This window comes from Homo sapiens, chromosome 5 (genome assembly GCF_000001405.40).
Source record: "Homo sapiens chromosome 5, GRCh38.p14 Primary Assembly".
NCBI lineage: Eukaryota > Metazoa > Chordata > Mammalia > Primates > Hominidae > Homo > Homo sapiens.
In genome coordinates, this window is record NC_000005.10 from 95,705,301 (window position 1) to 95,730,609 (window position 25,309).

The 25,309-nt window shown below is 39.4% G+C and overlaps 2 protein-coding genes across 3 annotated transcripts in view, besides 2 other annotated features; one reads left to right on the forward strand and one right to left on the reverse strand.

Annotated features, from left to right (window-relative positions):
- Positions 1–25,309, reverse strand: part of SPATA9 (spermatogenesis associated 9) — a 79,922-nt gene that overhangs the window by 53,120 nt on the left and 1,493 nt on the right. The window contains exons 2-4 of one of the 2 annotated variants that reach the window (XM_047417809.1): positions 14,344–14,473; positions 11,617–11,781; positions 3,335–3,535 (exon numbers count right to left, since the gene is read on the reverse strand). The gene's annotated coding sequence lies outside the window, so the exon portion shown is untranslated. The remainder of the gene's footprint in view (positions 1–3,334; positions 3,536–11,616; positions 11,782–14,343; positions 14,474–25,309) is intronic. The other variant, NM_001349303.2, reaches the window with a different exon arrangement.
- Positions 10,900–11,073: a silencer, noted in NCBI's record as "fragment chr5:95051904-95052077 (GRCh37/hg19 assembly coordinates)". NCBI's record gives its function as "represses an EF-1alpha promoter that drives an FKBP-Casp9 reporter gene in an ReSE screen in HepG2 liver carcinoma cells {active_cell/tissue: HepG2}" and the evidence as "EXISTENCE:reporter gene assay evidence [ECO:0000049][PMID:32094911]".
- Positions 12,324–25,309, forward strand: part of RHOBTB3 (Rho related BTB domain containing 3) — a 78,738-nt gene continuing 65,752 nt past the window's right edge. Inside the window, exon 1 of the mRNA XM_017009237.2 lies at positions 12,324–12,465. The gene's annotated coding sequence lies outside the window, so the exon portion shown is untranslated. The remainder of the gene's footprint in view (positions 12,466–25,309) is intronic.
- Positions 22,634–22,803: an enhancer, noted in NCBI's record as "active region_22799". NCBI's record gives its function as "activates an Ori minimal core promoter by ATAC-STARR-seq in GM12878 lymphoblastoid cells {active_cell/tissue: GM12878}" and the evidence as "EXISTENCE:reporter gene assay evidence [ECO:0000049][PMID:35858748]".

Consider the following 25,309-nt stretch of genomic DNA (forward strand, 5'->3'; position numbering starts at 1 on the left):
AGGCCACATCCCTTAATATGGTTGCATTGGGGATAAAGTTTCAACGTGAATTTTGGAGGGGACACCATAATTTAATCCATAGCATATATAATTAAGTATTTCATTCATGAAATTCAATAATTCCATGTTACTAGCATGTCAATGACCATTTAAAAATATATTAATGGTTTAATCACAACAAAAAGTTCTCTGATTTTCAACTTTTTCAGTTTTATGTACAGAACTAAGTGATTAAAATTTTTCTTTAAAAATTCAGTAAAGGTCAGCTGGTAATAATGTGTATGAAGTACACTCCTCTAATATAACTTTATAAAAAGAAAATGAATTGAGTATTTGTGGGGAGCTTGCTTTAAACCCAACTCTATAATGATTATAAACTAGATTAAATTTTACTGTAATGTAATAGTTACCCAGTTTTTTACTTCAATATGAAAAGCCTTTTCATTTTCAATGATTATTTTACAGCTAATAACTGTCAAGAAACACACAAACATTAACTGACATCTCAACAAAAGAGTTGGTCAAAATCTATCTCAACAGAATTATATCTCTAGTGTTTTTCCATGGGTTTTTATTACTCAGAAACCTTCCCAGATTTTCTTTTTTGATATTCCAAAAGGATTTAGCTATCTCCTTACTTTTCTGTTTCTGTAAGGAAAGTAAAGGATGCTGGGAGGAGAAAGGGAGAAAAGACAAAATGTTACCTATAATGTTTTGGGGTTCAACAATTCCTAAAACACATCCATGGACCTCCTCCCACTCCCAGCAAAAACAAAAACCCATGTCCCAGACCTTTTTTTAGACTGGTTTGTAACAGATCCTTTAATGGCCCACTTGAGTCCATCAAGCTATGAAGTCTTCCTGAATAAGGAGTGGATTCACTTACTTCCTAGAGGAACTGCCCAGTTCATATGGTTTGGATTTGTGTCCCCACCCAAATCTCATGTCGAATTGTAATTCCCAGTGTTGGAGGAGGGGCCCGGTGGGAGGTGATTGGATCATGGCGGTGGATTTCCCCCTTGCTGATCTTGTGATAGTGAGTGAGTTCTCAGGAGATCTGGTTGGTTAAAAGTGTGTAGCACCTCCCCCTTCCCTCCCTTCCTCCTGCTCCAGCCACAAATGGGTGGAGTCGTGCCTGCTTCCTTTTCACCTTCTGCCATGATTAGAAATTTCCTGAGGCCTCCCCAGAAGCAGAATCCTGTACAGCCTGCAGAATTGTGAGCCAATTAAATCTCTTTTCTTTATAAATTACCTAGTCGCAGGTATGTCTTTATAGTGTGTGAGAAGAGACTAACACACCAGTAGATAATCTAAGGTAGATCTCCTTTACATCAGACAGGTAAATTAAGTTGTTTCTCTCCCTTCTCATTCCTTTCATCATTTAAGTAAATTCTTAAATTATAATTTTTTTCTTCAGTAACTAGAAAAGAGGACAATTTCTCCCCTTCTCAGTCTTATCTAAACAGAAACTCTGAATACATTATCTAATCCTTCAACAATATTTATTGTTTTATATGCACACAAATGCCACATTTGCATATATATATATAATTTTGTATGCAAAGTATACCTTTATTAATATTTGTTTAATATTTTGACTTTAATATTAAAGAGACAATAAGATCCCTGCTATCAGAAACAAGTCTTCTCAAGTTACTTGTATAACATAACAGGGCAATGTAGAGTTTGATTTTGTCATTTTGACCCTACTGTTTTTGGCCCTGAGGGTATTTTGATAGAAAAGCATTTTTTAGTAAAAATATGTAAATCAGAAACTAACATTAGTGAATCTTAGAATTCTTAAGTCAGCTAAATTATCATTCAAGAATAAAAGTGAAATGAAAGCTTATTTTCAGACAGAAATCAGAAGAATTTACCATGAATAAGCCCTAGCTGTGAAAGAACTACTAAAGGAGGAATATTAGGAACAAGGAAATCTTGGAGGAAGAATGAATGTGAGAAAGAATGATAAGAAAAGAGAGTGATTAACACATGGATTAGTTAAAACAGACATGGACCTTTAGAACAAGAATAATTGTTGTACCCGAGCGAGTTAGAAAAATGCCACACTGAGACGAATTAAGAGTCCTTTATTAGCCGGCGACCGAGAGACGGCTAATGCTCAAAATTCTCTCGGCCCCGAGGAAGGGGCTTGATTAACTTTTATACCTTGGTTTAGGAAGGCGGGGGGCCTAGTTAAAACAATTTTACAGAAGTAAAGTAGTCAAAAAGTTAAAAGGATAAATGGTTACAGGAACGTAAACCGTTCCAGGTGCAGGGGCTTTAAGACTATTACAAGGTGATAGACCCGGGGCTTTGGGCGTTATCAATCAGATGAATTCCTGGGAACTGCTGATATAGCTTGCCACAGTATCTTATCAGTTAATTGCATTCTTGGACGTGCTGGGAGTCAGCTTGCACAAGTTAAGTCCTTGAGGAGGGAGCTGCCAGTGAAAGAGCCAAGATGGAGTCTGTCTGGCTCTCTTAGCTAAGGGAGAGTCAATTCAGGTGGAAAGAAGGCTAGGTGATTAAAGGAAAAGGGAGAGTCTAAAAACAGAGTTAGTAAAAACCAGGTTGGGCATTACATTCCCCACTTGTGTTTTTGGGGAATCAAATCGTTGATTCCTCAGTTATAACAAGGGGGTTATATTGAGTCTTAAGATACATAAGTTTGACAGAAGCTATGCATTGTTTTACAAAATTAAGAAACCAATTTAATATACAAGGCCCAAAAATTAAAGTTAATAGTATGATGAGGAGAGGTCCAGCTAACTCTGATTAAAGTAGTTAGCCAGGGGTTCCAGTTGAACATGTTTTGATACCAGGGGATGTTATTTTCTCGTTCCTGTTGGTGCCTATCTAGATTTTCTCGAACTTTTGGAGTGTATCTTTTATGACTAAGAATGGTGGAGGAACAGTTAAATCAACTTTGTCAGGGGGTTTCTGGAACATAGGGTCACCTAGAGCAGTCAAAGGCCGGATTGGCTTGCATGGGCTCCATGAGACCAGGATTTTTTTTTTGGATGGTGAACATAGTGCCAACATTAAATCCTGGGATATGAAATCTTAATTCCCATGACATGCCATAATATTATTGAGTTGAATTAGGGTCATGGACAGTTATAGTAAGAGGATTACAATTTTTTCTAGTACATAATTTAGGACAAGGAGCACGAGTTATAGAATGAAGATCTGGTTGATCCCCCAAAGTAGGTGGCTAAAGTTACAAATGTCCAATCAGGGCAGAAAAACTGATAAGTATCTCGACAGCTAGCGTCAGGGTGATTCCCAGGACAGAGGTAAAAGTCAACATTTTGGAGTTCTTTTTCTGTACCTTTGGAGCTTCCACATCCAGTTTGGCTCCCAGAGTGTCCAAATCCTGCTGCAAGGTTGACACTTTCTGCTCCTATGACCGGTAAGTTGTGTTGTTCTTCATGGGTGCGAGCTGGCTCTGAGAACAGTGCACATAGATCGACTGCAAAGGTGACTTCCTTGGAAGTACCGGCCCTCCAAGTAGTGTTGACGAATACACGTCCTGTTGTGAAAGAGGTGAGGAGGAAGGAGTAGGAAGGCACGGAGGACATAATAGGTGAAAACAAACAAGAGAAGTAAATAAAAAGAATTAATCTAACAGTTTCACCCGACTTAGGCGCAGTTTTAAGGGGCCTGATCCAGCCTTGGGGACCCATGTTTCTAGTTGGGCTCTGTTGGCCTTTTTGATGTGGGAGTGATGAATCCAAGCAGGAATTCAATCCGCCTTCAGAGCCGTTGGCATCGTGAGGATGACGGTGTGAGGTCCCTTCCAAGCAGGAGTGAGTCCTTCTCTCTGGAACTTTTTAATAAACACTAGGTCTCCTGGCTGGAATGAATGGCAGGGCCCCATCTGTTCAGGAATTGGATTGGGATGGGCTCCTCGAACAAGTGGCAGAATAATATCTTGTACCTCTTGGAGAGACTGTAGGCACTGCAATAAATTAGCTTGTGATATTTCTGCCAAATGGGCATCTCTTAGCTTAGGCAAGATAGGTGGCGCCTGCCCATACATAATTTCAAAAGGCGATGACCCAGCCTGATAAGGGGTGCACCTTACTCTTAAGTAGGGCTAAAGGAAGGAGACTCACCCAATTTTCACCGGTTTTTAAAATTAATTTTGTAAAAGTGTTTTTTAGGGTGCAGTTCATGCATTCTACCTGCCCAGAGCTCTGGGGTCAATAGGCACAATGGAACTTCCACTGAATGTTTAACGTCTTACTGACCCACCGAGCTATGGACGAGGTGAAGGCAGGTCCATTATCAGACCCTATGGCAGCAGGCAGCCCGTATCAAGGGATGATTTCATTAAATAAGAACTTAACTACCGTATTGGCAGTTTCGTTTTTGGTAGCAAATGCTTCAGTCCATCCAGAGAAGGTGTCTACTAGTACTAGAAGGTATTTGTACCCAGCCCGGTGTGGTTTTACTTCTGTAAAGTCAATTTCACACTTTTCTTCTGGCAAGTTTTTTCGGAGACAGTGGCCTGGGCTGGGTTTAGGACCTTGCTTGGCATTTACCTGGGCGCAGGTTGTGCACTGGAGAGCTGCTTGATCTGTTAGGCTTTGAAGATGGGGGATTCTTCTTTGTTTTTGATAGCCTTTCCTGCTGAGGTGAGTAGCCTGCGCTCCTGGTAGATGGCTCCATGTACATGCACAGTAGCAAAGGTGTACCTGCTGTCAGTGTAAACGTTAATACGTTTATCCTTACCCCATCGGAGAGCCTGAGTGAGGGCCATCAATTCAGCTTTTTGCGCTGAGGTGTTTGCTTGTAAAGCCTGAGCCCACGGCACATCTGTCTCCATGGTAACAGCTGCACCGGCCTTTCATACTCCCTGCTCGAGAAAGCTGCTACTGTCTGTGAACACAGTGGCGTCCACCTTCTCTAGGGGCATATCTTGAAGATTGGGTGGGCCAGTTTCGGTAGTTTCTAACAGTTCCTGACAGTCATGGATAGTAGCTGGATTCAAACACCATGTGGGAGAGAAAGTCAAACGAGGCTGATCTAACAGTAAACTGATACTGCAGGATGCGAGCATTTGACATCCATTTGCCAGAAGCACTTTGAAGTAAAGTCTCTATGGCATGAGGAGTTGTAAGGGTTAAATTTTGGCCCAGAGTTAACTTATCAGCCTCTTGGACTAGGCTTGCTGTAGCTGCTACTGCTCGCAGGCAACTTGGCCATCCAGAGGCCACGGGATCCAGTCTCTTAGATAAATAGGCCACTGGGCGTCTCCAGGGTCCTAAAGTCTGAGTAAGCACCCCTTTAGCAACTCCCTGGCTTTCATGGACAAACAGGTGAAACGGCTTTGAGATATTAGGGAGGGCTAAAGCAGAGGCTTCAGTTAATGCCTTTTTCAGGTTTCGAAAAGCCTGTTCTTCTGTGTCTGTCCAAATTAACGGGCCATTTCATTCTGTACCTCTTGGATAGCCGCCACTAAGATTTTTGTTTGTCCTTTGAATGCTTTATCAGCAGCCTTTTCAGCTGCCTGTGTTGCTTGTTTTTGTTTTTCAAACTCTTGGTTGTCAAAAACCTTTTGGGCTATTTCTAAAAGCTGACTGATATTCATTCCAGCAAATCCCTCCAGTTTTTGGAGTTTTCTTTTAATATCTGGGGCTGCCTGAGCCACAAATGCCAAATTAAGAGCACGGCTATTTTCGGGGGCCGCCGGGTCAAAAGGGGTGTAAATCCGATAAGCCTCCCGGAGGTGCTCTAAAAACGCTCCTGGTGACTCATCGGGCCCCTGGATGACTTCAGTCGCCTTAGACAAGTTTATGGGTTTCCGAGCGGCTCCCTTAATACCCGTGAGGAGATACCAGTGAAAATCGTCCAAAGTTCTCGTTCCACTTGAGGAATTTGGGTCCCAGTTAGGCCGGGTAGAGGAAAAGACCTTCTCAAGGAGGTCTCTAGCTTCCTCCTCCGGTCTATTGGCTGATGCAAGGAAGTGCTTTCTGGCCTCTCTCCAGATACGCTCCCTCTCCTCAGAGGTAAAGAGAGTTAAAAGGAGCGGTTGGCAGTCATCCCAGGTGGGCCGATGGGTCTGGAGTATGGACTCCAACAGTGAGGTCAAAGCCTGGGGCTTTTCAGAGAAGGCAGGATTTTGGGTTTTCCAATTATACAAGTCAGAAGTAGAAAAAGGGACATAAACCAAGAAGGGGGCTGAGCGCTCATCACCCGGAGGGACTTGTGCCTCTCTCAGTGGTAGTAGAGGGGCTGCTTCCTCCCGCCGCGGCCGCAGTCGAGAGGCAATGGGTGGCGAGCCCACAGGGGACGTCGTCAAGGAGATATGGGACGACCCTAAGGGAGCAAGTTGGTTGTAAGGCGGTGGGACTGGGTGAGGGAGACTCTCCTCTTCTTCAGAGGGAGGCAGTACAGGGGGAGCCGAACCGGCAGAGGGTTGAGGCGAAAACGCGGCCTGGCTCAGGAGGACTTTGGAGGTGGAATTGTGAATGGCGCATGAACGGAGCCATGGAGGAGGATTCCTGACCAAACTTAACCATTGATTTTTACAGGGAACCTGATTAGGATAGCCGGGAGCTTGGGTAACAACCCGCCACACGGCTTGAACAATTGTAGGATTCAATGACCCTTCAGAGGGCCACCCAACTCCAAACTTGGGCCATTCTACTTTACAGAGTGTCCGGAGCTTGCCTTTCTTAAGGCGGACTCCATAATCCTCTGAGAAACCAAGAGAAAAATTTTTCAGCATGCACTGGAGGGGGCTCCAACCCTTGCAAGGCCGGGACTCCATAAATGACTAAGTTTTACAGTTAAAAAAAAGAATGCTAAAGTACTGGACAACAATTACATGTAAGTTGGGCGTGGGGACATTCACATAAGATTTATATATTAACTAATAAAAAATTGAGATTCAAATGATGGCAAGCTGTTTCATCCAAGAACATGCATGTCAGATTACGTTTTCCAAAGATGCTGCAACAATATTTCCTATCCCACAATGTGGCCTTGATACTCCTCTCATTAAGAAATGGGGTCTATGTCCTCGCCCCTTTAACCTGAGCCATCTTGTCTCTGAGTTGTAACTGGTAGAATGCAGCTGAAGTGACACTGTGTGAATTCTAAGACTAGGTTGTAAAAAGTGATGCAACTTTCTCCTTGTTCACTGGCACACTCACTTCTGTACCCCCTGAGCCACCATGTAAGATGTCCAACTACCCTGAGGCCTCTATGCTGTGAGGAATGCAAGGGCAGGGTGTGTGTAGGGCATCTGGTTATCAGCCCCAGCTGAAGTCCTAGCCAACCGCAAGCATCAACTGTCAGACAAGAAAGTGAAGGTGCCTCAGGATGATTCCAGCCTGAGTCACTGGGCCACTTGAAGATGTTGAATCACCACAAGTCATTTGAGTTTTCCCACCTGAGGCCCCAGACATCATGGAGCCGATAAAAGCCATTCCTATTGTGTTCTGTCTAACCTCTGACCCACAGAATTTGTCAGTAAAATGAAATGGCTGTTTTAAGCCCCTAAACTTTAGGATAATTTTATTTGTTATCTTAATAGTAACTAGAACAAACAGGGAATGCCTTTTCCATGTTCAGTTTTTTTAATTGCTTTTTTTATCAATGTTTAAAGTTTTCTTCATATAGATCTCATGCATTTCCTGTTAGCTGCATTCCAAGAGATTTTATCCTTTTTGTTATTACTGTAAGTGAAATATATTCTCCTATTAAGTTTGCAAGTGGGTGTTGTTTACATATATAGATTATGCATGCATACATTTGTTCCCAGACAATTTACTTAATTTTTCAATTTGTTTTAGTTGGTTTTCCTGTTGATTCTCCCACTCCCAGCAAAAACAAAAACCCATGTCCCAGACCTTTTTTTAGACTGGTTTGTAACAGATCCTTTAATGGCCCACTTGAGTCCATCAAGCTATGAAGTCTTCCTGAATAAGGAGTGGATTCACTTACTTCCTAGAGGAACTGCCCAGTTGATATGGTTTGGATTTGTGTCCCCACCCAAATCTCATGTCGAATTGTAATTCCCAGTGTTGGAGGAGGGGCCCGGTGGGAGGTGATTGGATCATGGCGGTGGATTTCCCCCTTGCTGATCTTGTGACAGTGAGTGAGTTCTCAGGAGATCTGGTTGGTTAAAAGTGTGTAGCACCTCCCCCTTCCCTCCCTTCCTCCTGCTCCAGCCACAAATGGGTGGAGACGTGCCTCCTTCCTTTTCACCTTCTGCCATGATTGGAAATTTCCTGAGGCCTCCCCAGAAGCAGAATCCTGTACAGCCTGCAGAATTGTGAGCCATTAAATCTCTTTTCTTTATAAATTACCTAGTCGCAGGTATGTCTTTATAGTGTGTGAGAAGAGACTAACACACCAGTAGATAATCTAAGGTAGATCTCCTTTACATCAGACAGGTAAATTAAGTTGTTTCTCTCCCTTCTCATTCCTTTCATCATTTAAGTAAATTCTTAAATTCCAATGTTTTTTTTTCTTCAGTAACTAGAAAAGAGGACAATTTCTCCTCTTCTCAATCTTATCTTCTAAACAGAAACTCTGAATACATTATCCAAACCTTCAACAATATTTATTGTTTTATATGCACACAAATACACATGTGCATATATATATATAATTTTGTATGCAAAGTATACCTTTATTAATATTTGTTTAATATTTTGACTTTAAAGTCTCTTGGGACTTCCAGGCATACAATCATATCATCTGAAAATGATGATTTTATCCCTTTTCCCTAATTTTTTATATCTCTATTTTATTTTTCTTTTATATTTGCCTTGGGTAATATAAATTCCATACATGCTGAGTTTGCATAAATATATTATTTTTAGACAAAGTTAGCTAATTTTTATTATTAAGCTTGCTGGGGAAGGATCAACTGGGGATGACTAGGCAATTGGATATACAGGCTCGAGGCTCAAGAGAGTAATATGGGATCTGATAATTTGAAATCTGAGAGTCATCAATGTAGGAGCAATCACTGAAGCCATGAGAGCAGATGAAAGGGCTCCAGGAGGAACAATGTATAGCAAGAGGAGAGAAAAGAGTCTAGGACAGAACCCGAAGAAACATCAACATGTAGGAGACTGACTGAACAAGTAATCCTGTAGCAGAGAAGTTGAAAAAACAAAAGTGTTTTGCAATAGAAGGAAAAAAAGATGGCATTTCAAAAAGGGGGAAAGGTCTGCAAGCTCTTGAGAAAGCTAAGGAGTGTCCTTCGGATTGGGCAATTTGAAGGCTGTTGGTGACCTTGAAACAGCAGTGTGACCGGAGTGGTGGAGGAAGAAAATTTGTTTGTAGTGAGTTGAGAAATGAATGGCATTTAAGAAAGAGAGAATCATTTTTAACAAACTTTGAGGAAGTTTGTCTTAATTATTAGAATTAATAATGGGACTTAGCAGAGTTATGAGGGCAAATCAATTTCAAAAAAAAAAAAAAAAATCACTGTATTTTTATACACCAATAAGAAAGAGGTAGATGATGAAATAGGAAATGGATTCCCTTCATATTCCCTTTATAATAACATCTAAAAATATCCAGTATGTAGGAATAAAACATTATTGAAGAACATTAAAGAAGACTTAAATAAGTGAAGAGATATATACTATGTTCATAAATTGGAAAACTGAATCCCATATTAATTCATAGACTTAATGCAATCCCAATTAAAATCTTAACTTCTTTTCTTTGTGTAACTTGACAGTCTGATTATAAAATTTATGTAAGATTGTGGCCGGGTGTGGTGGCTAATACCTGTAATCCCAGCACTTTGGGAGGCCAAGGCGGGCAGTTCACGAGGTCAGGAGATCAAGACCACCCTGGCCAACATGGTGAAACCCCATCTCTACTGAAAATACAAAAATTAGCTGGGCGTGGTGGTGCATGCCTGTAGTCCCAGCTATTCGGGAGGCTGAGGCAGGAGAATGGCATGAACCCGGGAGGCAGAGGTGACAGTGAGCTGAGATCATGCCACTGCACTCCAGCCTGGGGACAGAGAGAGATTCCATCTCAAAAAAAAAAAAAAAAATTATGTAAGATTGCAAAGGGCCAAGACAAGACATATTTTTCAAAGGTGAAATAATTAAGGCAGCATAGTATTGACAGGATAACCAAGTAGACGAATAGAAAAGCACAGACACTTAACACATGAAGTAGATGACACTGCAGAGCAACAGGGAAAGGAAACTCTTTTCAAAAAATGAAATTCAAACAATAGAATATCCATGTGGAGAAAAAGAAAATTGTTTTCCTGTTTTGTGTTATGTATAAAAATTACTTGCAGGTAGATTAAATACCTACATGTGAGAGGCAAAATATAACACTACTAAAAATAATATAGAAAAAATTTTATGATCTCAGGGTAGGGAAGAATTTCTTTAACAAGACAGAAAAAGTCCTACTTATAAAGGAAAATATTGATAAATTTGATTTCATTAAACTAAAGAACTTCAGTTCAGCAAAACAAAGAAACTAAAAGATTAACTACAGAATGAGAAGCCATATGTAACAGATATAGCTAACAAAAACTAAAATCTAGAATACAGAAAGAATTTGTTCAGATCAAGAACAAAAACCACTCAATGTAAAATACGGACAAAAGATTTCAACAGATACCACATAAAAAGACAAATCCAAATGACTAATAAAGCCAATCTTATTGTTGTCAAGGAAATGCAAATGAAAATCACTATGACTCACTGTCCACCAGAACTGGCAAAAATACAAAAGTGTGAAAACAACAGGATGGTTACTTTGGTGAGGATGGAGAGTAGAGAGGATAGAGAGTAACAGAGGGAAATATGGGGTGGGAGCCCCCACACAGAGACCCCACTGGGGCATTGCCTAGTGGAGGTGTGAGAAGAGGGCTGCCATCCTCCAAACCCCAGAATGGTAGATCCACCGACAGCTTGCTCCGTGCACCTAGAAAAGCCACAGACGCTCAACGCCAGCCCATGAAAGCAGCCAGGAGTGGGGGTTACACCCTGCAAAGCCACATGGGCAGAGCTGCCCAATGCCATGGGAGCCCACCTCTTGCATCAGTGTGACCTGCATGTGAGACATGGAGTCAAAAGAGATGATTTTAGACTTTTAAGATTTGACTGCACCACTGGATTTAGGACTTGCATGGGGCCTGTAGCCCCTTCATTTTGGCCAATTTCTCCCATTTGAAATAGTATATTTACCCAATGTCTGTACCCCCATTGTATCTAGAAAGTAACTAACTTGCTTTTGATTTTACAGGCTCCTAGGTGGAAGGTACTTGCCTTATCTCAGATGAGACTTTGGACTGGTGGACTTTTGAGTTAATGCTAAAATGAGTTAAGGCTTTGGGGAACTGTTGGGAAGGCATGATTGGCGTTGAAATGTGGGGACATGAGATTTGGGAGGTGCCAGGGGTGGAATGATATGATTTGGCTATGTCCCCAAGAAAATTTCATCTCGAATTGCAGCTCCCATAATCCCCACGTGTCATGAGAGGGACCCAGTGGGAGGTAACTGAATCATGGGGGTGAGATTTTCCCATGCTGTTCTCATGATAGTGAATAAGTCTCATGAGATCTGATGGTTTTATAAAGGGCAATTCTCCTGCACATGTTCTCTTACCTGCCACCATGTAAGACATGCCTTTGCTCCTTCACCTTCTGCCATGATTGTGAGTCCATTAAACCTCTTCCCTTTATAAATTATGCAGTCTCAGGTATGTCTTTATTAGCAGCATGAGAACAGACTAATACAGCTGGGTCATGGGGTCCATATATTCGGTTGCTTCTGTGAAGGTATTTTTTGAATGAGATTAACATTTAAATTGCTGGACTTTGAATAAAGCAGATTACCCTCCGTAATGTGGATGGGACTCATCAAATCAGCCGAAGGCCTTAACAGAATAAAGATTGTCCTCCCTCAACCAAGAAGGATTTCAGCCAGCAGACTGCCTTTGAACTCAAACTGCAACTTTTCCCTAGGTCTCCAGCCTGCCAGCCTATCCTGTAGACTGTGGATTTATTTGAGTCTCCACAATTGCATGAGCCAATTCCTTAAAATAAATCTCTCTCTGTCTCTCTCTCAATATATAGATATGTGTGTGTATATGTGTGCATATGTGTGTGGGTACACACACACGTATCTATTTACATTATATACATGTATGTATATGTTTGTATATACACACACACTACACACACACATATATATACACACATCATGTTGGTTCTATTACTCCAGATAACTCAGCTAATACAGTTGGTGACAAAGGAGACTCTGAAGGGGAGGAGCCAGGGGAAGAAAATATCCTGTCTCATTCTGCTGCCTCTGATCTCTGCATTGACTAAACCTAACTAGAAGCCAGAGGCCAAAGGAATCTGTCGATATACAAGCTAGCTTCCCAGTGGATGGAGCAGGATGGAGAAGAGGAAGAACGGGCCTGGAGGGACAAACAAAGGGTTAAAAGAAAAGGTGAGGAATCATTATAATAAAATTCAGGATGGTGGTTGTCTCTAGAAGGGTGAGAAGATTGATTTAGAAGGGACATATAGGATGGGGTTATTTCCTTGATCTAAATGACAGTTAAGCAGGTATTTGGTTTATAGTTATTCATTAAACTATACATTTATGTTTTATGCCTTTTGTATATTTTGTAATTTAAAAGTTTAAAGAAGAAAACAATGCTGAGCAACTAAGAACTTATAAAATATTTGAATGGTAAGTGGTAAATAATTTTCCAGGTGAGCAATTTTGTAGCATTTAAAACCAGTTAGCTTTAAACACTAGAAAGTATGTTATGGACCATTATACAAGTCTTAACAAGTGAAAAAGTTAAATAAACCTGAACTAAAAGATACTTTCCCTCTTTTTTTTTCTTTTAAAAAAAGTTGCTTCTAGCCGTATGGGGAAGAAAGAATAATAGCTAGAGACTTGCATATGTTTAAATGCTAACAGCAAGAGCAGTAGAGAGATAAGAGTTGAAGACAGGGGAGAAGAAAGGGGAAGTAGATGCAGTACAGTCCCTGCAAGTTAAAAGGTCTACACAAGGCACTATCAGAGGGATCAGCCTGAAATCAGATAAGGCATTCTTATTGAATTTTGACTGGAGGAAAAAGTAAAGAACGGATGTGGCTACATGCAAATTTGTTAGCTAATTGTGGGAAGCTGAGGGAAGTTCCCCAGCTGATGCCTCCGTTTTCTCTGACAGAAAACATGAGACTGAGGGAAGAGATATCCAAGTTAGAGACAGGGGTAAGTGAGAAGACTGGAACCACTTTGGAGAGCCAGGCAATACCAAATGCTCAATTGAAGTTGGAGGCCATGAATTTATAGTGCCATCAATATGCACTATTTTGAGATTTTCTACAGCAATATTTTACAACCCAGATATGGGAATCGAAAAATCACACACTAAGGTTGATCCAGGGTTGGGGTTTTAGACTGAAAAGCAATAGAATGGGGCTATGAGAACAGACAAGAGATGCAGCATGAAATCTCAGTTGGATAGGGAAGAAAACGAAGACAGAAGAGGTCTAGCAGAGAGGGAGAAAGCAGGAGGATCAAGAGTTAGGAGGTCCCAGGAGAGCACAAGCAGGGAACAACTGGATGATGGAAACAGGGTAGAAGGCTGCTTGTCCAAGTTGTTGGATAACTGAATGTGTTGTTTTAGATGTGGAGCTGTTGTAGGCAGTGATATTATCTAGGATTTGCCCATGGTAAGGAGGTATAAAGTGGAGGGGAGGTGAAGGTCATCATGGAAAAAGGGGCTGAGATGTTGAGGAGTTCATGAAGACATTGAGATCATAGAGAACATGGACATATCTGGGGTCGAGAGAAAGACAGAGGCTAGATACTGAGCATTTAATGAACAATGTGTGTGTTGAGGTTCCGGAATGAGGTTAGGTGGTTGACTGGGAGGTTGCTAAATGACAGCAACTGGAGAGAGACAGACGGGAGTATAGTAAATGTCTTCCTTGAATCTCAGAAGAACAGAAGTGCTTCAGGAGGATGAAAGAGTAATTAACTGACTCTCCCTCTCTACCCAGATTGGAATTCCAGAAGGTGAACTAGAAAGATTCCGCAGGAAGCAAAGCATGGGTAAACCTAGATGGGTAAACCTAGATGGCCAAGATAAGTTACAGCTGGGCCTGTAATAAGGATATCAGGGAATGGGGCAAGTTAGGTTAAACTGGCTCTAAAATTTTCAAGAATTCATTTTAGTAATACCCTGATACTGGGTAGTGAGCAGTATTGGTCTAGCTCTGGAGATTCCAAGTTTTTACATCACTACTTGATATGAGAATCTAATAGTAAAAAACATATATACATTACATGCAATTATTTGCATACCTGTTCAGAGAGTTATAAGATTTCTTTGAACCATATTCAGAGACTGGCTTTGTGACTGTGGCTCTTCGATGATCCTTGTAGTTAATGCCATCATGCAGATAGGTCACCAATCTTTCCTAAATGGCTGAACCTGCCAATCAGAAGAGAAAATTTTAGAAAATTGGTCAAGGCATAAATTGGCTTAATGCAGTTTGCTCTGGAAATGATATCTCTCTGTGATAACTCGGTGTTGGTATAGTTCTAATAAAAGTGTTTATAGACACAAAACATCCTTGGGATCAAAATGACCTGTACTCCAGGTGCTTAAAAAATGTCTGTTGAACTGAAAAGATAATAATGGGCTTCCCATGTAGACTTTCCTATAAGGGAAGACAGTGTTTGCTACCTATTATAAGTTTCTACCCCTTTAATAGTCGAGAGTCTCATTACAAATGAGCAAATTAGTATTCTAGTTTACACATTGGCCTCTTGTGCATTGGATTGAGACAAACCTAGTCCCCTGAGTGTGATCAACCCTGGGCACCTTGACAAAATAAAGTTTCTGGACTTGCAAAACTGAAGAATGAGCCTTGGATAATGTGACTTAAGAGGCAATGTCATCCTGAGGCCAGCCTGAGCAGCCCAGCTGGCCTCTCCCCATGACATTTCTAGCTCAGTTGTTTAGAATAGTGACTCTATTTAGATCAATTCACTTCCTGCAATAAAAATATTTGAGATTATGATGGGGATCATTAGCAAAACGTTGTTGTAATCATAGTTAATGCAAAAGGACTGAGGAATTTATATTAGATCATAGTGAGTTAATAAAATGCACTGGTTGAAAATGTCTCCTAATTCTAGAGTCTAGCATGGAGAGTTACTAATAGTGTACAATTTGTGCCTGTTTGTGGGTGGTGGCCTAGTAACAGACTGTTCCATTTCAAGGCTAAAGCTAATGAGTACTACAATGCTTGTGCTGAAACAAAATGAAGCAAAGTAAACTCTGCTTTTTTTTTTTGGTCTGTTTTGTTTGTATTACATTATACGTCACTGCTTCTTATGTTATACCAGGGCTTCACATTTCTGAGTGTCTCATTCTTTTTGTTCATAGATAGACTCGTAGACTTTTCCCATGATTCTGAAGAGTTAGACATAATAATCAGTAAAAACAGATTTTTGCCAATATGACAAGCATTCTAGTAACGACTGATTATTCTTTTGTTTCTGTTCACCTACAAAAAGAACTGTGCACTAACTTGTTCAACAAAATGTCATTTGTTGCCATATTTTACCGAAGAAAAGGATTTTCTGGCTCTTTAGAATTTAATGGGTTCTTCTTATGATTTGTCAGTTTCTATGGTGGTAAACCAAAGTATATAAAAGAAAAGTCACAGTCTAAACATGACACATCCCTTAATTTTACCCGGTGGTAATTAATCCTTATTTTTATATTAAATCAATAAGGATACACTATGACTTAAAGGCAAAAAACCTTGGCAAGATTTTGAAGAAATCTGGGCTTGCACTGCACTATTTACGTTGCAGCCTGAATGAGATTTTAGGGATGGGAATAGTGGAGGCTTTTTTCAGGTATCTCTAACTTAGTGGAGAAGTTTGAAAAGCTCTGCTTGCCACTGAAATTAGTCCAGAAGGATCTTTGCTTGGCTGTCCGTACTTATCACATCACTGAGAAAGGTCTAAGTGTCTTTTAATGTAGATGGAGAGTGTCCTTGTCCTACCCAGGTCCTAGAACTGGAGGGAGCTGGTAACACAAGAACATGCTGAAGATGAACATTGAAAACACTCCTTCATTAGCAGAAACAGAATGGGCCTTGTCGGAGTTGTGACAGTTACTGACTGGGCAGGGGGTTTGGATCTGGCTAAATATAGCCAGGGGAAAGAAACTAGTAGTATAGCTGGAAAGATGGTAATGATTACACAAATGCATATGTTTTAATTTGAAGGTAAAAGAGGAGAGAATATCAATCAGAGATATTACTGAGGTCCCAGCTTAATATTTTAAATATTTAAGGAGCTCTAAAGAGGAATATCTGATTCTACTGAGAGCATTAAAAAAAAAAAAAAAGGAACATGAAGATCAGAATAAGTAAGAATGTGTCCAAGGGAATCTCAGGAGAGAGTAATCAGCAGGAAAAAAACAGAAAGTGAAAAAATGTCTGTAAGATAAGCCAAAATTGTTAAATGTTTCAGCTAGGTGATCTATTAGAATGCCAAAAGGACTATTCATGAGGGGTAGAACTGCCAACCTAATATATAATGGCATTAGCAGGGCTTTTCTCAAAAAAGGAAAAATCTCTAAGAAAATTTTGATTACTATTAACTGTAAAATCATTTTTAACTGTAGACAGGATTATAGAGTGAGAAGTGAAAAGTTATAAACAAGTTGAGAAAAATGAGGACCAAATGTATTGTGTGAGGGCAGATGAGGTCAGGGGAAATGATCTGTGATAGCTTCTGAATAAAAAAGGAGAACATTTCTAAGCATATTTGTAAAACGTGCCAGCTGGGATAGTACCCAATGGATGGCCATAGCAGAGATGCATGTAAACAACACAGCAAGCAAAGGGAGTGCAGGAGATGGGGAAGGCTTTTAGTACAGTTAAAACATGAGCCAAATTATAGCAATACTGAACAAAATCTATTTTTTAATATATTAGAGTTTGTTGGAAAGAAGATATACCAGCAAAGTATTATACCACTTAACTCTAACATACTGTATTTCTGTATGATTACAAATGGAAAACTTCCAAAAAATTATGCATAACTGCATAATACACAATCAATGGTGCTTGATAATAATACTTGTATTTATTTATATACATCCCTGGGGGTGGTATTTTATAATGTAAAAGAGGTTTTTTTTTTGAGATGGAGTCTCGCTCTGTCACCTGGGCTGCAGTTCAGTGGCGTGACCTCGGCTCACGCAACCTCCGCCTCCTGGGTTCAAGCAATTCTCCTGCCTCAGCCTCCCAAGTAGCTGGGACTACAGGCTCCCGCCACCATGCCCGGCTAATTTTTGTATTTTTAGTAGAGGCAGGGTTTCACCTTGTTGGCCAGGCTGGTCTTGAACTCCTGTTGATCCTCCCACCTCGGCTTCCCAAAGTGCTGGGATTATAGGCGTGAGCCACTGCGCCCAGCCTAAAAGAGTCTTATCGCTTTTCAAGAGCTAAATAACAGAGCAGGCATATTAAAGGCCAGATTACCAGATTTCTTTGGAGTTCAACCCTTCGAAAAATACTAGTAGAAACAGGGAGTTCTGATTCAAAGAAACATATGTTCTGCTATTTTTAAGTAATATTTTAACTGTAAAACCAAACAGTTGTTTTAAAAACATCACTGAGCACAATGATAGAGGTGGGTGGATAACAGAAATTCAAACAAAGAAACAAACATAGACATTTTCTGAAAGAGTTTAGGATAGCTGGATTTCACATGTACATAACATTCTAGATCAGGGCTTCCCTGGGCCACACTGGAAGAAAAAGAATTGTCTTGGGCCACACATAAACTACACTAACACCAACGATAGCTGATGAACTTAAAAAAAAAAAGATAGCAAAAAAATAAAAATCTCATAATGTTTTAAGAAAGTTCAAAAATTTGTGTTGGGCCACATTCAAAGCCATCCTGGGCCACATGCGGCCCTTAGGCCACAGGTTGGACAAGCTTACTCTAGATTCTCACTTGGACTTCTGCAAACACAACTGAGATTACAGCCTTGCAATTTAAAAGAAATTGACAATTTAGAAGAAGACTGTAGTCTCCTTCTCTGGGAAGAATGACCCAGGGAATAAAATGAGTAAAGTCAGCTTTGCTGAAGACTGACTAAATGGTTATTGGCTTTGGTGAATGACTTTGCTTAGTTACTCTCATGAAGTACGTGCAAACTCTTGTTGTTTTTTGTTTGTTTGTTTGTTTTTTTAAAAAGCTAATCTTGAATTTTATAAATTTTGTGTAAATTTGCACACTTTATCTCCCATTAGATTAGTTAAAACAATACAAATACATTTTTCACAGAGCTGATTTCTAGGCAAGTGAGTCTGCAGCTTATCTGTGTTGCTTTTCCCTATCTCTCCTTTACTTCCTGTCTCGCAGCCTCCCTTACCACAGTAGCCAGCCCCAGTGCTGTGTTCTGCATCCTGGCAGTCCCAGCTTCACTGTGCTGTCTCTAAGCTTGTCCTCCAGAGCACAGCCCAAAGCACCAGCCAGGAGTCTCTGAACTTTTTTGACCGAGCACCCCATCAGGAAAAAATGTGAGCACACTCCCAAGGGCTATAAATTACATGCATATGTTACTAAGAATACAATAAAACACAAACAGAAAATTTTTAATAGATGAGATAAAGATCAAATCAATCATAGTTTAATGTATTAATGGTGATACGTCATTTGATAACGATACATACATTATGAAATTTTCCTCTCAAAAGTTATTGTGAATAAAGCTTTACAGGGAGAAGGATAATTGAATATGTCTCATTTTAAAATCTTGGTTTATACTTCATGACACAGCAATACAGTTATCTGGTTTTATGATTAGTTTATTTAAAGGCTCTCTGAAAAGAACTTAAAAAGATATGTGGAATTTAATGAAGAGCTGCTTCATGACTCTCATTTTTCAGTCCCATTATGCAAAGGTTTTTGTTGATATTTGATGAATATATTTCCCGCTTGCAAAATGTTACTCATCTGTTTCTGAAACTAATCAGAAGTGTAATACATTTTTACATGTTTAACACATAGTTTCAGAACTGACTGAAATTATATTTGGAAAATGTTTGGGGAGTTAGAAAATTCTATAAGATAGAAGAGTTTTTGTAGGTTACATGCATTGTTTTCAATCACAAACATTACATAATGAAGGAGTTAGTTTCAAACACTGGGTAAGGGCACAGACCCTGGGGCCAATTGTCTGAATTGGAATCCCAGCTCCTCTACTCCCTACTTGGGTAGCTGGGATTACAAGCTCCCACCACCACGCCCGGCTAATTTTTGTATTTTTAGTAGAGACGGGGTTTCAACATGTTGGCCAGGCTGGTTTCGAACGCCTGACCACAGGTAATCCACAAGTTTCTTGCCTCTTTTTTCAGGTGGCCAAGTTTCTTAACCTCTTTGTGCCCCATTTTCTCTCCAGTAAATTAGGATAATAATAGAACCTACTCCATAGGGTGGCTGTGAGAATTAAATGAGTCAAAATTTGCAAAGCACTTAATGTAATGCCTGGTACATGGTAAGTATACTTAAGTATATAAAGAATTATGGAGCTGGGCATGGTGGCATGCACCTGTAGTCCCAGCTACTTGGGAGGCTGAGGTGAGAGAATCAATTGAGTCTAGCCTAGTCAAAAAAGTGAGACCCCATGTCTTAAAAAAAAAAAAATTATGTGTAGAACCCTGGACATACACATGCCATGTGACCTAGCACACCCACAAATATACTACATTTTGAAGCAAAAGTGATCCTAGCAGCTTTGTTTATAATAGGCAAAAACCTGGGAATAGCCCACGAGTGTATCTACAATGGGATGGATAAATAAATGGTGGCATATATTTTCATTGGATGCTATTCAGCAATGAAAAGGAGAAAAACAAACCACAGCTACATCAACACCATTGAATCTTACAAATGATGATGAATAAAAGAATCAAGGCACAAATACCTACAGTGTGATCCCACTTAGAAAGAGTTCAAAAGGAAGCAAAACCAAAAGATCTGTTTAGGAATGCACATAGAGGTTGTAAAAATCTAATGAAAAATGAATAATCATTACAAAAGCCAGGCTCATTATCTCTGAGGGAAAGAGGAAGAGGGCTGTAGCTGAAGAGGGGCGTCATGTGTGCACACACACAAGCGCACGCCTTTGCGTGAGCCCTGAGAATGTTCTCATTTTTGACCTGAGAGATTTTAGGAATGTTTATTTTATAATTATTTATTAAATCATCTGCATAACTTTTCTGCACTTTTTTTGTGTGTTGTATTGCACAACAAAAACTTTTTCAAGCTGCTATAAAATTCTTGTTTCCACAAAATTTACTACTTGTATAACCTCTTACAGTGCTGTGTATTCTGCCTCCAACTTCTTTGTTAGAATAAATTGCATAGGAGATAGGCTGTGAATGAATTTCATGTGGTTGCTCTCATTGTAATGTTAGCTTGGAATTCTTCTTTTTTTTTTTTTTGAATGTTTAGTCAAAACAACTAATCCATCAGTGGTTACATGTAAAGAAGTTTTGCATAAAACACAGTTTTTATTTTTAAACAGTCAATTATTGTTTACAGTATTGTCAAAAGATGTAGAAGAGAAAATATGTCTTCTCTACTACAGCTTTTCTTTAGTGGATCACAAAAAAGTTATTTCAAAATGTATTTCATTTATTGGAACACAATGTAGTAAATACTACACTGAAACAGAATTTCTCAAATACCATAAAGTGGAACATATTAAAAACATCTGTGCTTTCAGTTTAACCTTATAGTAAACTTCCCACATTGTTTAACTTGTTCAAATACTTATGACTGGAATTTTAGCAAAACTTCATGTGAATATTCTCAAGGTATTTGCTAACAAAGGAATGCAGTTGTTTTTTTCCATTTGCGTTCTATGTATTATTTTAGATATTTTTATCTTGGCAAGAAGAAAACTAAGAGTGTGTTGCTTTTTGACTTTCATTTTTAAGACAGCTCAGAAGAGACTTTGTAGCATTTATTCTTGGTGACTTTTCTTGGAAGTATTGACTTGTATATAGTACACTACTTAAACATGCTAGAAACTTTATTGAATTCGCCTTCAATACTTTGGTGTTTAGTTTTTAAGTTGCTAGCTAATTGTAATCAGTTCAGAATATCATTGTCTATTAACTATAATATGCACTTAGGGTGAAATCAATGTTAGCAAGAATGGTTGTAAATTCATACTTAAAACAGTGTTCTTTATAATCCATTATTTTGGTCAACTTCTTGGCAAATCTGATTAGTCGTCGGTTTTTTACCTTGCAATGTGGCTCCCAAAGAGTATCAGAAACATCAGCTTGGCTGGGGGTTTTTGCTTGTGCTTGCATTTTTAACACTGTCTCCCTTGGTTCCTGCTGTAACAGTAGTTTACTTAAATATCATTCATAAGTCTCCTTAGAAACAGAAACTGCAACATGTGGCAATATATTGAAAGTGAACAAAGGAGGCAGCCCTCCCGCTGCCCCTCACTGTGTATCCTATTGCTGCCATGCCCCCAACACTCCTTGTATCTGCCCACTTACTGGTCAACCTGGGGTACCAGCATCAATCCCAACATTAACTAGTAGTAAAGCTTAATTTCGTTTCCCCCCTTTTTTTTTTCAGTAAAAAATAATGTGTGTGATTAGAAGTTTATTCTGGAATTTCAGGGATCATCTTCTGTACCCCACCTTGAAGACTCTGGCTCTAGATAAGTAGTCTTAAAAATTGCGTTTGTTTTTAACCTTAGAAAACCCATCTTTTTAATGAAAATGAATATGAAACTTTAATATTTTTTTAAAAGACAGCAATAAGACTGCTCTGATTGGCTTTAAGATGCCTTTGTCAGAGTTCAGATCTCACTGCTTACTCTTTTTCTGCCACCTCCTCAAGCTGATTTGAAGATTCTTCTATGCAAACCTAGTTTTCCTTAAAACATAGTTGGAAAAAATCTTCTGCCAAGCCGAGATCTCTAGGCCTGCCCTCACCAATGCTTACTTCCTCTCCAGCTGTTAAGGAACCAACACGTTTTTCAAAAACTGGTATATGAATATTCACAATTTGGGGACTAGTAATAGCCCACTGAATTACTTTACATGTCCTTACTGTACTTTATGCTACATCTTATTTAGGGATAAAAACATCTAATAGAGTAAATATGAAATGGTGGCATTTCAGCCACTAAAATAGGAAAAAAATATTGTTTGGGTTGGAAGCCCTTCCTGTGTGTTCCCCAGTGACCTTGAGGTTGGAGGACATGTGATATCTGTTCTGTTAACACTGGTAAAATAAAATTTTTTAAATGTGCTGATGAGAGAAACTGCAAATACATAAACCAAATAAAAATTTAAAATACAAGGGAAATAACTTTAAAAAAGTGGTCATAAGAAAATTATGAAAAGATCTTTAGGATATCAGGAAATGGACCATCTGTGATATTCTTTTAGCCAAGATAAATAACACTAACTGCTGTAATAATTGACCTCAAAATGTCTGGCTCAACTCACTGAATATCTATTTATCACTCAAATCACAGTACAATGCATTCTGTGAGGAGGCTCTGCTGTAACTAGTCATTCAAGGACTGGTTCCACACTGCAGTGCTAATAGCTTCAAACACCTGGCTTCAAGGTTGACCTGACTTCATGTGGTTGAGACAGGAAGATAAAAGAGAATGGAGAGACACACTTCTCTACTGCTCAGCAGGGATCATATTCCGTTGATGAGAACTAATCATGTGGCCCTACCTATATGCACAAAAGTTGAGAAACGTCATTTAGCTATCTTGGAAGAGAAAACAGGTTTGGTGAGTATGTAGCCAGGCTTTGTACCAGATACTCAATTTGTAGCTTAAGTATCACCAGGTATGACTCCAGAAATCTCTTGGGAAGCCTCCACCACTCTTTTTTCTGCCTGCTTTAATATAGAAACCTTCATGCCAGCACTAACTTCATCTCTTGCTGTTCCTAAGACAAGCCATGATCTTCCATTTCTTTATACCTTTGCATGTGATGTCTGTCCAGTTCTTTGAAATACTCCTTCCCTTCTAACCTCCTCTTCTTCCAAATCTAACAAATTCTTAATCTATTAAGACCTAAGACAATGTTTACTTTCTTTATGAACTTCTGACACAGAAAGCACAGATCTCTTCCTAACATTCACTGAACTTATCTTTTACTTTGTACCTATCTCTTTTACTGACTGCCTTTGTACCTATCTCTTTTACTGACTGCCTAGGCCTAGGTCTAGGAACTAGAATGTTTTCAAAAGGATTGAGTGTGCTAATATTCACAAACTAATTAATATGTCAGAGGGGTCTGAACCAGAATGACTCCATCTTGAGTAGAGGCTGGGTACACTAAGGCTGAAACCTACTGGGCTGCATTCCTAGGAGGTTAGGCATTCTTAGCCACAGGATGAGATAGGAGGTCAGCACAGGATACAGGTCACAAAGACCTTGCTGATAAAACAGAATGCCGTAAAGAAGCCGGCCAAAACCCACCAAAACCAAGATGGTGGTGACAGTGACCTCTGGTCAACCTCACTGCTCATTATATGCTAATTATAATGCACTAGCATGCTAAAAGACACTCCACCAGCACAATGAGTCTACAAATGTCACGGCAATGTCAGGAAGTTACCCTATATGGTCTAAAAAGCAGAGGAACTCTCAGTTCTGGGAAATGCCCACCCTTTCCAGAAAAACTCATGAATAATCCACCCCTTGTTTAGCATATAATCAAGAAATAACTATAAGTATACTCAGTCGAGCAGCCCATGACACTGCTCTGCCTATGGAGTAGCCATTATTTTATTCCTTTACTTTCTTAATAAACTGGCTTTCACTTTATGGACTTGCCCTGAATTCTTCGCTGGAGGTCCAAGAACTCTCTTTTGGAGTCAGGATTGGGACCCCTTTCTGGTAACAAATTGCTTTAGCTTCTTAAGGTCAATGACCAAGTCTTATGTACCTTGGGATCTCCTATGCCTACCCAGCACAGGCTTGGCTCACCTATTGAGTAACTAAGGAAAAAATGAATACTTTCTCCCTTTCTGACACTTCCAAGTTGTCAGCAACTTTGGTGTCTATTTTTGTTTCATTTTTGTATTAATATTTTTATATTGTCATAAAATATAACAATAGTTACCATGTTAATCATGTTCTAGTGTTCAGTACACGCTCTAGTGTTTAGTTAACAATGTTCTAGCGTTCAGTTCTATAGTTCAGTATAGTACGAACTATATATGCACCTCATGCAACAGATCTCTGTAACTTTTTCTTCCTGCAAACCTGAAACACTATACCTGTTGAACAACGCCCCCTTTTCCCCTCTCCCCAGCCCCTGGTAACCATGATTCTACTTTCTGTTTCTAAGAGTTTGACTACTTTAGATACTTCATATAAATGGAATCACTTTTTGTGATTTGCAACTGGCTGATTCCACTTAGCACAAGGTCCTCAAGGTTCATCCATGTTGTAGTTTATGAAGGAATTTTCTTCTTTTTTAAACGCTAATCATCCATTACATGTGTATACCACATTTTCTTTATCCATTCATCCATTCTAGTGTCTTTGTTTTTGACTTATGGGTTTCCGGAAAAGACTGATGAGAAAATATATTTTCTATTAACCCAAGAGAAAAAGTGATCTTGCATGCTGGAATTTTTAAGGATGGTTTAGGTTCTAGAGACTCAAAGAGAAATCGTAGAAAATGCAAAGGGAAATTAGATTAAAAAAAAAAACAGTGACCACATAAAGAATATCTCCCATTATATCCTCTCTGAGCACGAGAAACTATTAAACTACTTTCAACCGAGCAATAAGGGCCCATAATAAAAAGCTGTTGCCCTAGTTTTTTTACTGCCCTACTCAATACCCCCTCTTTCATACCCTCAAAATAGCTCAGCTGAGAAAAGAAACAGTCCAATTTTACAGAAGGGAAAAATAAACAGATAAAAGGATAAGCAAGAACTCTTTTCAACACAGAGTAAGGTACTGGTTAGAATTTTAATACTGTATGGAGGAGTCTAACCCCAGAGTAATCCCTGGCCCATTTTGGTGTTAGTAAGTGGATCCCAGTGTTCGTTTGTATCGAGGTAGTTTGAAGCACGTTAGGGATATTCATAGCCTTTACTTCAGTGCATTATTATGAAAGAATCTAAAGTATCTTTGCATTTACGTGATTATGTTTTCAGTTGGTCTGCGGAGCTATTATTAAATATGTGGCCATAACGTGTACAGAAAAATCTCCAAGTA